General features: G+C 38.8%; 1 protein-coding gene and 1 non-coding gene across 6 annotated transcripts in view; both read right to left on the reverse strand.

Annotated features, from left to right (window-relative positions):
- Positions 1–13,520, reverse strand: part of CHRFAM7A (CHRNA7 (exons 5-10) and FAM7A (exons A-E) fusion) — a 33,335-nt gene that overhangs the window by 18,329 nt on the left and 1,486 nt on the right. For 3 of the 5 annotated variants that reach the window (XM_011522153.3, XM_011522155.4, NM_139320.2), the window contains 3 exons: positions 7,969–8,093; positions 4,425–4,488; positions 1,459–1,505 (listed from right to left, as the gene is read on the reverse strand). In XM_011522153.3, the coding sequence (XP_011520455.1) occupies positions 1,459–1,505; positions 4,425–4,457 (80 nt within the window). In that variant the 5' untranslated portion in view covers positions 4,458–4,488; positions 7,969–8,093. Of the gene's footprint in view, positions 1–1,458; positions 1,506–2,808; positions 2,983–4,424; positions 4,489–7,968; positions 8,094–13,520 lie in introns of all 5 variants that reach the window. The other 2 variants (XM_005254750.4, NM_148911.1) reach the window with 2 other exon arrangements.
- Positions 6,065–6,197, reverse strand: LOC124900357 (U8 small nucleolar RNA). The gene has a single exon (XR_007064809.1). It is a non-coding gene; the product is annotated as a U8 small nucleolar RNA (small nucleolar RNA).

The raw sequence follows: 13,520 nt of genomic DNA on the forward strand, positions 1-13,520 counted from the left end.
GTAACATTAGAAGACGTATAATAAGAATTACCCTTATTATTAAACATTTTCTAAACTCCTATTGTTTCACCCATATTTCACCAGCATAGAAGAATAATTATTATACCACTGCCACAATTCACAAAATCCTTTCACCTCCGTTTTTTCATGTGCCTGTCCTAACAATCATGAGATAAGCAAGCTTCATGATAATAACTACAACTTCTACAACCCCAACCCCACTGTCAATGAAATACCCACTAAGAATCAGGCACTATACGGCCAGGCACGGTGGCTCATGCCTGTAATCCCAGCACTTTGGGAGGCTGAGGTGGGCAGATCACGAGGTCAGGAGATCGAGACCACGGTGAAAAAAATTAGCCGGGCGGGCGCGGTGGCGGGCGCCTGTAGTCCCAGCTACTAAGGAGGCTGAGGCAGGAGAACGGCGTGAACCCGGGAGGCGGAGCTTGCAGTGAGCTGAGATCGCACCACTGCTCTCCAGCCTGGGTGACAGAGGGAGATGCCGACTCAGAAAAAAAAAAAAAAGAAAGAAAGAAACAGGCACTATACCAGGTATCTCACATATTTACCACATTCAAAGTTGAATAATTACCAAAAATCTATGAAGTAGTTATCCCATCGCAATTTTACAGATGAGGAAACTGCGGCTCAGCAATTAAAGTAATTGGCCCAGAAAGCAGATCTTTGATCCACACCCAGGTCTGTCTGAATCCTAAACCTATGCCATTTCCTTGTCCCACCCACACTCCCCAGGAAACAGAGATTGAGAAAAAGATAATCATTTGGCCAAGTCTTATAGGCAACAGGAACCCAGAGCCTTCTAACACTTGATCTACGGTGCTTTCCACCTGGTATGTTGCTTCTATAAAAAGTAAGGACACTTCCTTCCATCGGGAGTTTATAAATCATAATTAATCTCATTAGATTATAAATAACATCATAGGGAAGCTATGTGCTACATAGGGACAGATAAGGGTGCCCAAGGGAAACTTTGAGGAAGTATAACTAAATTAATACACAGGGATCAGGGTTGAAGTATTTTATAACCAATACTCAAAACAGTAACAGTTAGCCTGGCTCAGTGGCTCACGTCTGTAATCCTAACACTTTGGGAGTCAGAGATGGGAGAATCACTTGAGCCCAGGAGTTGGAAACCAGCCTGGGCAACATAGTGAGAGACCTTGTCTCTACGAAAATAAAAAAACAACAACAGTTAATAAAGTTTCCAGGAGTAGCTTAGATAATCCCAGAATCGTATCTATATTAGGAGAAGGGCTATTTTTAAATATTCTAAAGTTTATAATTGGAATGCCCATAAAAATTGCCTATGAGTAAATTCATCATTACATCAGGAAAATTTATGATAATTACTTAGGACTCTGCTTTTGATAAATATGTATGCTGTAACTACTTAATAAAACCATGAGAAATAATTTTTAAAATGTAAATGTTACTTACATATCGCAGTTTGCAGCTATCCACAAATGCTGGATTAGCAATTGGAACTAGAATAAAAAATGTAAATGTAAAAAAAGAAAAAATTAAAATATTTAAGTCATGAAACACAGAAAGTGACAGCAAAGTTAAAAACTCAGATCTTTATAAAAAGGAAATTTATACTGTACACCAAAAATGATATTTGCTAAATTACAAAGGCACTTGTATACGAATAAGATTAAAATAAAAACTAAGAACAGTACTTTTAGTTTCTCCTACCACTTTATATTCTCTAAATGACAGCCCTTACCTGATAGACACACGCCAACTATCAAAAAAAGCAATCTTAATACCATCCTGGAAGCAAGTGAACTTACATTTTTTTCAAGCCAATTCCCAAATGAGGGCCCACTACAGAAAACACCTCCGAACCACTGTAATTCCTTTCTGAGGATGACTCCAAACACTCTGCCAATCGATGCTAAACATGAGCCAAAAGAAACAAAAAAACTCTGACAAATTCCCATGAGCTTACCAATGGACCAAGATTGTCCAAAAAGTAATATTCCCAGAGGATAGGAAAAAAATGTCTTAGAGGGTTGATGTCTGCCTTCAATGTCACAGCAGAAACCTTGCAGTTTACCAGATGACCCAGTAAAGGAACCAACACCCACAACCCGTTCCACATGGGCAGTTAATTCCAGTCACTGATGAGAAGGGAAAAGGTCTGTCTTATGATATCACATTTTTTTTTGTTTGTTTTTTGTTTTTATTTTTTGAGATGGGGTTTCGCTCTTTTTGCCCAGGCTGGGGTGCAATGGCATGATCACGGCTCACTGCGACTTCTGGCTCCTGGGTTCAAGTGATTCTCCTGTCTCAGCCTCCCAAGTAGCTAGGATTACAGGAGTGCACCACCACGCCCTGCTAATTTTGTATTTTTAGTAGAGATGGGGTTTCGCCATGTTGGCCAGGCTGGTTTCAAACTGCTGACCTCAGGTGATCCACCTGCCTCGGCCTCCCAAAGTACTGAGATTACAGGCGTTCATTCCAGTCACTGATGAGAAGGTAAAAGGTCTGTCTTATGATATCACGCCCGGCCTGATTTCACATATTTTTTAAAAATCTTACAAGTTAACATAAAATGGAAACCTGAGTATTACAAACAACAACAACAACAAAAAGTTCAAAATCACCGTCTACTCTTATCTACTTTAAGACGTAAGGATTAAGCAGAGGATAATTTGCATAAACCTAAAATCGTGATAAATCAGTTTTTTCATGGTAGTTAAATCAAATTGCTATTTTAGCACTTGTTTGAGCCTCTATAAAAAACATAAATTTAAATGCATAAGTCATGTCACAGAGGCCTACCAGCGGGGAAAGGAGGAGCCTGGTGGCCACCTCCTGGTGACCAGCCACCACTCACAAACAGCAAAGGAGATTAAGCTTGGCTCAGGAGGTCCCCGAGCTCTTCTCACTGGAGTCGATCTGCGAGCACACTTGTTACAAAAAGTCATTCCAATCTTGGTCTTTCAGAAATTATAACTTATCCATTGCCAAGGAAACAAAATAACAAACGTATGATGATGAGAAAAACAACTGCTGGAAACATTACATGAGAAATAAACACAGAGTTACGACAGCTAAGATGAGGACAAAGAAAACATTACTCTGTCAACACCAAAAATACTCCAAAGATGACACTACTTCTATTTGTCCTTCTATATTCCTCATCTCTTTATCTATCCATGGAAACTTTTTAAACACTTCAATGGAAAACTATGCTTTCAAACCAAGCAGATGTCTAAAGCAGAATTGTCTCACAACCTAGATTATAACAAAATGCAAAGTTCAATACAACTGGAGTAAAAGACAAAAAAGCCTTTGTATAAATAAATCAACTCTCAGATATTGAGAAAAGCACAAACCACACAGTTATTAAAAAGTTCCAATGAAATTACTGTAAAAAAATAACGAGGATAACATGATAGCTAAAATCACCTGAAATTCCTACCTCCTAATCCCTATAAAAAAAGGGCAAAATCTAGGAAATGTGATACTCCCTAAAATTTTTTGCTAACATGTTTTTGCTGATCTCAATCTTTAGACAAAGAAATTGTAAATATAATTTCCTAAGTAACTCAAAGAAGAAAAAGGAAATAGTATTTCCCAATAATAATTCTCTAGGTTTGCATAAATAGACCTACTTGGCACTGAAAGCACTATTAATATTTTGCTTCACTTTGGTCTTTCAAAAACGTCCTTCTACACAGGTTTTTTTGGTTGTTTTTATCACTAATTAAGTTGACTGATATAAACCCTTAGCTGGTTTATTTAAACCTAAATATATTTTAAATTTACTTCAAATCATAGATTCTACTCTAGCCACAATGAATAATTTTCCCCAAATTGAGTTTAACAGCTTAAAATATAATTTGTTAAAAAAAAAAAGTTTAAGGTATGTAAAAATTTCTGACTTTCACCGTAAATAAGATTTTCATTAGCTCAACAGAAATGTAATAATTATCCCTTAAGTATCTCCACTCCCACACCATCTCCACAGTCATGAACCACCTAGTCCCGTTCTCAAATGTCCTGGTCCCGCCAATAGAATCCCAATCCTTCCTTCTTGTCCCCAACCCTGTGCACCTACACCTGCCATAAATGGTGGAAATTCAACCAGCTCTATGAACGGAAGGGAGGAGGCCCCCCACCCACTCTACAGGAAAACTTGCCCAGATCTACAGGAACCTCCCCACTCACAAGAGGACAGGGCAGCCCAGACTCAGCTGAGAAATGTCAACAGCTGGCACAAATGAATTACAGATTATTTACAATTCACATAACACTGACCCAAGAATATAACCAATTGTCAAGACAAAATAAATTTAGTTGTTCACATACAAATATTCCATTTGTGAATAAATTTCATATTCGTATCTGTATACAGACAGTCTACATGTTCGATAACTCCTTTATGATCCTACCTGAAAATGCTGGTAGATGCAATATTTTTGCATCAAATTTAACCGATGGTGGTTGTTTCATTATCTGTGGTTAAAAAAAAAAAAACTTTTGAGGCAATTTTAAAGATGGATATCTGTCTCCTTATATGTCCCTTATATCAGATAATAAATCAATGAGGACAAAAAAAGAATGTGTAAAATTTGTTACCAAAAACAAAAAGAACGATGCCTTTTCAGATTAAAACATACATATATAGATAATAATTTATTTTTTAAAATCATTTCAATTGATATCTGTAATAAAATAAAGCTTCAAAGAAAAAATTCACCCCATCCTGGCTTACTTTTTAGGTAATTTACGTCTAATTAGAAATTCAGTCTTTCAACAAATATCTATTGCTTACCTGCCAAGGTAAGGCTCTATGTCAAGTGCTAAGGGGGATACAAAGATATAAAAGACACAATCCTATTTTCAGCGAGCTGACTTTCTGGTTGGGAAGATGAGACAAACATTTGATAAACAAGAAAATATTTCACAATTCAAAAGAGGCAGGACATAACTACAGACAAAACCCTGGACAGAAAGAATTTTTTTTGTAAATAGTAGTTTAGAGAATACAGCAAGCACTTTACTTGATATAGTTGACACCGGGTTTACGGAAGAGGTAGAAGGTGGGTTGCGGTCTTGAAGGATGGCTAGAACTTTATGATTATATCAGAGAAGACACCATTCAAGGAAGCCATAATAGCATGAATTGGAAAGTGCATAATTTATTTGAGAAATGTGAAGAAACCATGTAGTTGGATCCATGAGCTTAGGACAGCCAGATACTGCATCTTGAGACTTTTAATTAAAAATTCAACCATCATTTCTATACCTAACTTCTGCAAAACTTCTATATGTAATATTTTTAAAACCTTTACTAATTAAGTAACCAGCATTACTGTATTTACTGTAGTATTCTTACTAAAATGCATATTCTCATTCTAATCTCATAATCCAAATTCATAATCTCATTCGAGTCATGAGAAACCCTTAGACAAACCTAAATTAAGGGACATTCTTCAAAACACCCAACCAGTTACTCTTCAAAGTGTCAAGGACTTGAGTCATACGTTTTATAACATGTATTACAAAAACATACAAAGGCCAGGTGCCGTGGCTCACGCCTGTAATCCCAGCACTTTGGGAGGCCTAGGCAGGTGGATCATGAGGTCAGGAGTTCAAGACCAGCCTGGCCAACATGGTAAAACCCCATCTCTACTAAAACTACAAAACTTAGCCAGGTGCAGTGGCAGGTGCCTGTAATCCTAGCTACTCATGAGGCTGAGGCAGGAGAATAGCTTGAACCCGGTCGGCAGAGGTTGCAGTGAGCTGAGATCGCGCCACTACACTCCAGCCTGGGTGACAAAAAACAAAACAAAACAAAATAAAAGACAAACTGTCAAGGTCATGAAAGACAAGCAAAGTCTGAGAAATTCTGACAAAACCGTGAAAAACTAGGACAGACTATATGAGACTAAGGAGGCATAACAACTAACTGTAATGTGGGATCCTGGAACAAAAAAAAAGAGGACATTAGAGGCAACCGGTAAAATTCAAATGCATTTGGTAGTTAGCAGCACTATTCTCATGTTTTATTTTTCCCTTTTCAGGAAGAATTCGAAAGGAGCAGTCAGGGTATTGCATGCCATCATTACACAGAGATATGAATCAAGTATCATGCAACTCCAACTACCACATTCTGCTGCCCTCCAAAAGGAGGCACAGGTAAGGATTATCCCGCCTGACTAACACTATACCAATGTTAATTCCCAGGTTTTGCTAACTATACTATAGACCTATAAGATGTGAACATTAAGAGCAGCTGGGCAAAAGCTATACAGGAGTTCTCAACTATTTTTTAATCTTTTCTCTAAAAGTAGTTTAGAATTAAAAGTTAAACACAAAAATTTCCACTGATGAAGGCTTCCCATAAACTATCAAATATGGTTATAAGAGGAAAAAAGGAAACACAGAATATTGTGTAAAGCAAGCTTGTCCAACCCGCAGCCCGTGGGCTGGATGCGGCCCAAGACGGCTTTGAATATGGCCCAACACAAATTCATAAACTCTCTTAAAACATTGTAAGAATTTTTTTGCAATTTTTTTTTATTGGTTTTTTAGTTCATCAGCTATTGTTAGTGTATTTTATGTGTGGCCCAAGACAATTCTTCTTCCAGTGTGGCCCAGGGAAGCCAAAAGACTGGACACCCCTGGGAAAGATATCACAAATTGTTCTAGAAAGCCCACTTTGAAAATGCGCCAATGCACATCAAACTTAGCATAATAAAGTTACACTGCCAGACATATGAACTCACAAAAAGAATTAGCTCCATTATGAAAAACAGCTAAATCATCTATATAAAATGCTGTCTATCTAGAAAATAAACATGAATCCAAAAACCCTTACATTGTTCTAAACCACACTAATGTTCCCAATGAGACAAGAAAAAAACAGTCATGAATTAATACAGAAAAAGATATTTAAAAAAGAAAAAGAAGGCCAGGTGTGGTGGCTCATGCCTGTAATCCCAGCACTTTGAGAGGCCGAGGTGGGTGGATCACAAGGTCAGGAGATCGAGACCATCCTGGCTTACATGGTGAAACCCTGTCTCTACTAAAAATACAAAAAATTAGCAGGGCGTGGTGGCGGGCACCTGTAGTCCCAGCTACTTGGGAGGCTGAGGCAGGAGAATGACATGAACCTGGGAGGCGGAGCTTGCAGTGAGCCAAAATCGCGTCATTGCACTCCAGCCTGTGTGACAGAGCAAGACTCTGTCTCAAAAAAATAAAAAATAAAAGTAAAACTAAAAAAAAGTAAAAGAAGCAGTAAAGTTAAAATAGAGAATAAGTAGTGGAATGTGAGTATGTTGGGGAGCTGGAAGTCAAGACAAAACAGAGGGACTTAGAAATGCATCTGTTTTTTAAAGTAAATACTCATTATCCCCCAGCAATAAAGTATTATATTCCAAAAGACAAGAAGCAAAAAAACTCACAGTGGTTTAGAAGTACATTGTGAACCATGACTCCTCAAGTTCCCATAGTGTCTCCCCACCATCTCCCCTGCAGTATTAACAACCTGTGACAGGGCAGGGCTTCCGTGTGATCTGCCTGCCCAGCCCAGCCTGGTGAGCAGTGCCCTCTGACTGCTTCTGCCTTCAAAACACATCAGAGACTAGAATACTTAGAGTGATTCACATTAGTGCAGATGGAGAAACGATGGGACTGAGAGCTAAGGTCTGAGGTCAAGAGGCTGGCAACCCCTCCGTGGCATGTGGAAGAAAGCAGTAGTGAGAAGCAGAGCTGACTCATTCAAAACAGAGGGGGGAAAACTTAGAACTCCAGTGAAGCGGAAGTGAAGGCAGAGGAAAGGGTTGCAGACAGAGCGGGAGCTGGAAATGCAGACATGCAGCACAAATGAAAGAGTAGCGGACAAGAGAAACAGGAAAGATTAGACAGTAAATAATATTCTGAATGAAAATCTTATGCAGATTTCAGATCTCAGTAAAGTCTACAACTCACTTGTCAGAGTGCTTTCTGCACCTTTGGATTGTCAATAATGGGGGTGACAACAAGATCTGAGTCGTGTAGATAAGCTCTCTCATCTGGGATTCCAGGTCCTGCTGACTCAGGTGTCCACTTGTAATCTGAAATGAGAACAAAAATTTGACTTTGTTTCTGTGACTAATATAGAGCTTTAAAACACTGAACTAATATGATGCTGAGGAAGACACCACTGTAAAATATCACCTATATCAATGTACTTCCACTGCTATTCAAGACACTTGCAGTCTCACTTGATTTTCACAAAAATCCTAAACTGTAGGTACCATAATTTCCATTTTACAGATAAAAATATAAAACTCTGAGAAAGTAACTGAATTGCTCATGTTACCATTAAAACTGGCTAGGACTACAAAAAAGATCTTTACAATTCAACGTTCTAAACTCTGATGAGGCAAACTGCTTTTTCGATTACCAGCATGGTTTTTTTTGGTTTTTTTTTTTTTTTAGGGATGGAGTCTCAGTCTGTCACATAGGCTGGAGGGCAGTGGTGCAACCCTGGCTCACTGCAACCTCTGCCTCCTGGGTTCAAGTGATTCTCCTGCCTCAGCCTCCCAAGTAGTGGAATTACGGGTGTGCACCACCATGCCCAGCTAATTTTTTTTTTTTTTTTTTTTTTTTTGAGACAGAGTCTTGCTCTGTCACCAGGCTAGAGTGCAGTGGCGCGATCTCAGCTCACCACAACCTCTGTCTCCTGGGTTAAAGTCATTCTCCTGCCTCAGCCTCTCCAGTAGCTGGGACAAGGTTTCACCATGTTGGCCAGGCTGGTCTCAAACTCCTGGCCTCAGGTGATCCACCTGCCTCGGCCTCCCAAAGTGCTGGGATTATAGGTGTGAGCCACTGCACCCGACCCATGGCTTTATTTTTCATTCATAGAATGCTGATCAATTTATTTCTGCTTTACAGAATATTCAATGTGAAGTTGAAACTGTAACATACAAAAATTTTCAGACTTAAATACAGACCGGTTACCTAAGTGTTAAACCTCAATTATTTATTAAGCCTCATTAGAGATGATACATAATAAAATCAATCACCAGACATTCACCATCAGTTATTCCTTTGAGATGGTTCTTTGTGCTCTATTTAAACATAATTTGTATTCCTAGTGCTATGCCCCAGTATTTCCCATCAGAAAAAAAAAAAGGATTTATGCTTAAGAACCTTAAAAGAAACAATGACTAGCAAACTAAATAAAATAGAAAAGTAAATCAGTGAAGTAAGGAAGAAGGAAAATAAATTATCCAAAACTAGTGAGGAAGGGTCATAGATAAAGGAACAGAGTTAGCTAAGAAAATTCCTGGAAACCCAAGGTGCCCCTTGCAACTCAGATGAAAGATATACGAAAACACACAAAGAGGCCGAGGCCGGGCACGGTGGCTCAAGCCTGTAATCCCAGCAATTTGGGAGGCCGAGGCGGGTGGATCACGAGGTCAGGAGTTCAAGACCAGCCTGACCAACATGGTGAAACACTGTCTCTACTAAAAATACAAAAATTAGCTGGGTGTGGTGGCATGTGCCTGTAATCCCAGCTACTCAGGAGGCTGAGGCAGGAGAATCACCTGAACCTGGGAGGCGGAGGTTGCAGTGAGTTGAGATTGTGCCACTGCACCAATTAAAACAATTGTATGCAAAAATTAGTTTCCTATAGGTAAATTGAGTGTAGGCACAAATGCCAAGTTATAACAAATATCCCACTCACAATAGCAAAAATATATAAAACAAAATGTTCAGGAATAAACTAAATGATCAATAATTGCAATGAGATCATGATCATTAAATGAAAATAATCGTTATAAAATTATACTCTCTTGCTTCAAAGTGAACACATTATGTATAAAACCAGAAGTAGTAATATCAAAATGTATGAGATGTATGAGGTTACAGTGAACTATGATGGTGCCACTGCACTCCAGCCTGAGCAACAGGCTCTAAAAAAAAAAAAAAAGGTAATCAGTGTTTACTTGGGAATTACATTGTAAATAATTTTTCTATTGTCTTTGTCCTCTTTTATATTTTACAAGTTTTTTACAATTATATATGTTTTGTAATAGAATAAAAAGTATCATTTAAAAATTATAAAACATAAGGCCAACACAGTGGCTCACACCTGTAATCCCAGCTCTTTGGGAGGCCGAGGCGGGCAGATCACTTGAGTCCAGGAGTTTCAGACCAGCCTGGACAACATGGGGAAACCTCTACTAAAAATACAAAAAATTAGCCATGCATGGTGGCGCACACCTGTAGTCGCAGCTACTCAGGTGGCTGCGATGAGATGAGATAAGCACCTAAGCCCAAGAAGTTGAGGCTGCAATGAGCCATGATCGTGCCACTCCACTCCACCCTGGGTGACAGGAGTGAGGCTCTGTCTCAAAAATAAATAAATACCGAGATATATATGTAAAATAAACTACCTTAGGTATTCACATTATTGATTATATTTTCTCAATAGAATGATTATATATTCCTCTTTATAACCATCTGCCAGAAGAGCTTCAACATCTATCGCATTTCAGAATGAATTTTTTTTTTTTTTTTTTTTTTGAGACGGAGTCTAACTCTGTCGCCCAGGCTGGAGTGCAGTGGTGCGATCTCAGCTCACCGCAACCTCCGCCTCCCAGGTTCACACCATTCTCCTGCCTCAGCCTCTCAAGTAGCTGGGACTACAGGTGCCCACCACCACACCCGGCTAATTTTTTGTATTTTTAGTACAGATGGGCTTTCACTGTGTTAGCCAGGATGGTCTTGATCTCCTGACCTTGTGATCTGCCCTCCTCAGCCTCCCACAGTGCTTGGATTACAGGTGTGAGCCACTGCGCCCGGCCCAGAATAAATTTTTAAATTTACATTGATTTTCTATTTCACATAACCAAAAAATTAGCACAGTCAGATTTTATTATAACCAGTTTATACTAAATTTCAAAGCAGAAATAAGCTTCACAAGGTCCAAATACAGTTCACATTACATCAAAACTACAGTTAAAAACTAAAAGCAATTATATTTGTCAACCAATAAGTAGCATAAAAATTACTTAGAATTAATTCAAAGTAGGTCTGCATTCAACACAACTACGATTGAAAGAAATTAAAGGAAGACCTAAATAAGTACAAATACATCCTGTGTTCGTGGAGGAAAACTTAATATTGTTAAAATGGCAGTACTTTCTAAGTTGATCTACATATTCAATGCGACTGTGATTAAAATCCCAGCTGGCTCCTTTGCAGAAACTGACAAGCTGATCTTAAAATTCATATGGAAATGCAAGTGACCCAGAACAGCCAAACCCACCTTAAAAAACTTTCTGGAGGATTCATACTTTCTGATTTCAAAGCTTACTAAACAGCTACAGTAATCAAGAGTGTGCTACTGGTATAAGGACAGATGAACAGAGAAAAGAATAGAATCCAGAAATAAACTTTCACATATACAGTCAATTGATCTTCAATAAGCGTTCCAAGACAATTCAATGGGGAAAGAATAAGCTTTTCAACAGATAGTTCTGAGATAACTGGATGTCTAGGTGCAAAACAATGAAGCTATACCCCCCTACTTCATGCCGCATGCAAAAATTAATTCAAATGGATAAAAGAGCTCAATATAAGAGATATTGATAAACTATAAAACTCATAGAAAAAAACATAGGCAGAAACCTTTGTGACCTTGGAGTAGCAACGTTTTTTTAGATATTACACCAAAAGCACAAGGAGCAAAAAAACACAAATGAAAAAAGATAAATTGGACTATATCAAAATTTAAAATCTTTCTGCTTCAAAGGACACCATCAAGAAAGAAAAAAGACAATCCAGAAAAAGGAAGAAAGTTGTTATAACTCCTATCTAGAATATGTAAAAAATTCTTACAGCTAAATAATAAAGAGATACATAACCCAATTAAAAATAAGTTAAATTTTGGAATAAGTATTTCCCCAAAAAAACAGACAAATGGCCAATAAACACATGAAAAGATACTCAACATCATTTGCCATCAGGTAAATGCAAATCAAAACCACTAAGACATAGAAATTCACACCTACTAGCTGGGCGCAGTGGCTCACACATGTAATCCAAATACTTTGGGAGGCGGAGACAGGTGGATCATTTCAGGTCAGGAGTTCGAGACCAGCCTGGCCAACATGGTGAAACCCCGTCTCTACTAAAAATACAAAAATTAGCCAGCTGGTAGTGGTGCATGCCTATAATCCCAGCTACTCGGAAGGCTGAGGCAGAAGAATTGCTTGAGCCTGGGAGATGGAGGTTGCAGTGAGCCAAGATCATGCCACTGCACTCCAGACTGGGCGACAGAGTCAGACCCTGTCTCAATCAATCACTCAATCAATGGAATTTCACACCTGCTAGATGTGAAATAGGATGGCGATCATGAGAAAGACAGGCAATGCAAAACTATTCACAATAGCCAATAGGTGGATGCAACCCAAGTATTCATCAACAGAGGAAAAGATAAAAAGGCATATTAAATACATACAAGGGAATATTATTCAGCCTTAAAAACAAATGAAATTCTGGCACATGCTACAACATGGATGAACGTTAAAGACATTATGCTAAGTGAAATAAGCCAGGCACAAAAGGACAACTACTATATGAGACCACTTATGCCAGCAGTCCCCAAACTTTTTGGCATCAGGAGCCAGTTTTGCAGAAGACAATTTTTCCACAGACAAGGTTGGGGGAGATGATTTTGGGATGATTCAAGGACATTACATTTATTGTGCATTTTATTTCTATTATTATTACATTGTAACATATAATGAAATAATTGTACAACTCACTATAATATAGAATCAGGGCTGGGCACGGTGGCTCACGCCTGTAATCCCAGCACTTTGGGAGGCCAAGGTGGCCAGATCATGAGGTCAGGAGATCGAGACCATCCTGGCTAACACGGTGAAACCCCGTCTCTACTAAAAAATACAAAAAATTGTTGGGGCATGGTGGCTGGCGCCTGTAGTCCCAGCTACTCAGGAGGCTGAGGCAGGAGAATGGCGTGAACCTGGGAGGCGGAGCTTGCAGTGAGCCCAGATTGCACCACTGCACTCCAGCCTGGGTAACAGAGCGAGACTCCCTCTCAAAATAAATAAATAAATAAATAAATAAAAAATAAAAAAACTACAAATGATAAGCAACATAGAATAGATATGTAAGGAAAGGCTTTAAAAAGGAAAATAAGATCAATATAAACTAAGAAAGAATTATTACAGAACAAAGAGATTCTAGGGAGAAGACAAGAGTATCAAAATCACTTCGTAAAGATACTTGTGAATATATTACATGTATAAAACAAAACAGAGGCCGGGCGCGGTGGCTGATGCCTGTAATCCCAGCACTTTGGGAGGCTGAGGCGGGTGGATCATGAGGTCAGGAGATCAAGACCATGCTGGCTAACATGGTGAAACCGCGTCTCTACTAAAAAATCCGTCTCTACTAAAAACACAAAAGTTAGCCAGGCCTGGTGGCGGGCGCCTGTAATCTCAGCTACTCGGGAGGCTGAC

This window comes from Homo sapiens, chromosome 15, assembly GCF_000001405.40.
Source record: "Homo sapiens chromosome 15, GRCh38.p14 Primary Assembly".
NCBI classification, from domain to species: Eukaryota; Metazoa; Chordata; class Mammalia; order Primates; family Hominidae; genus Homo; species Homo sapiens.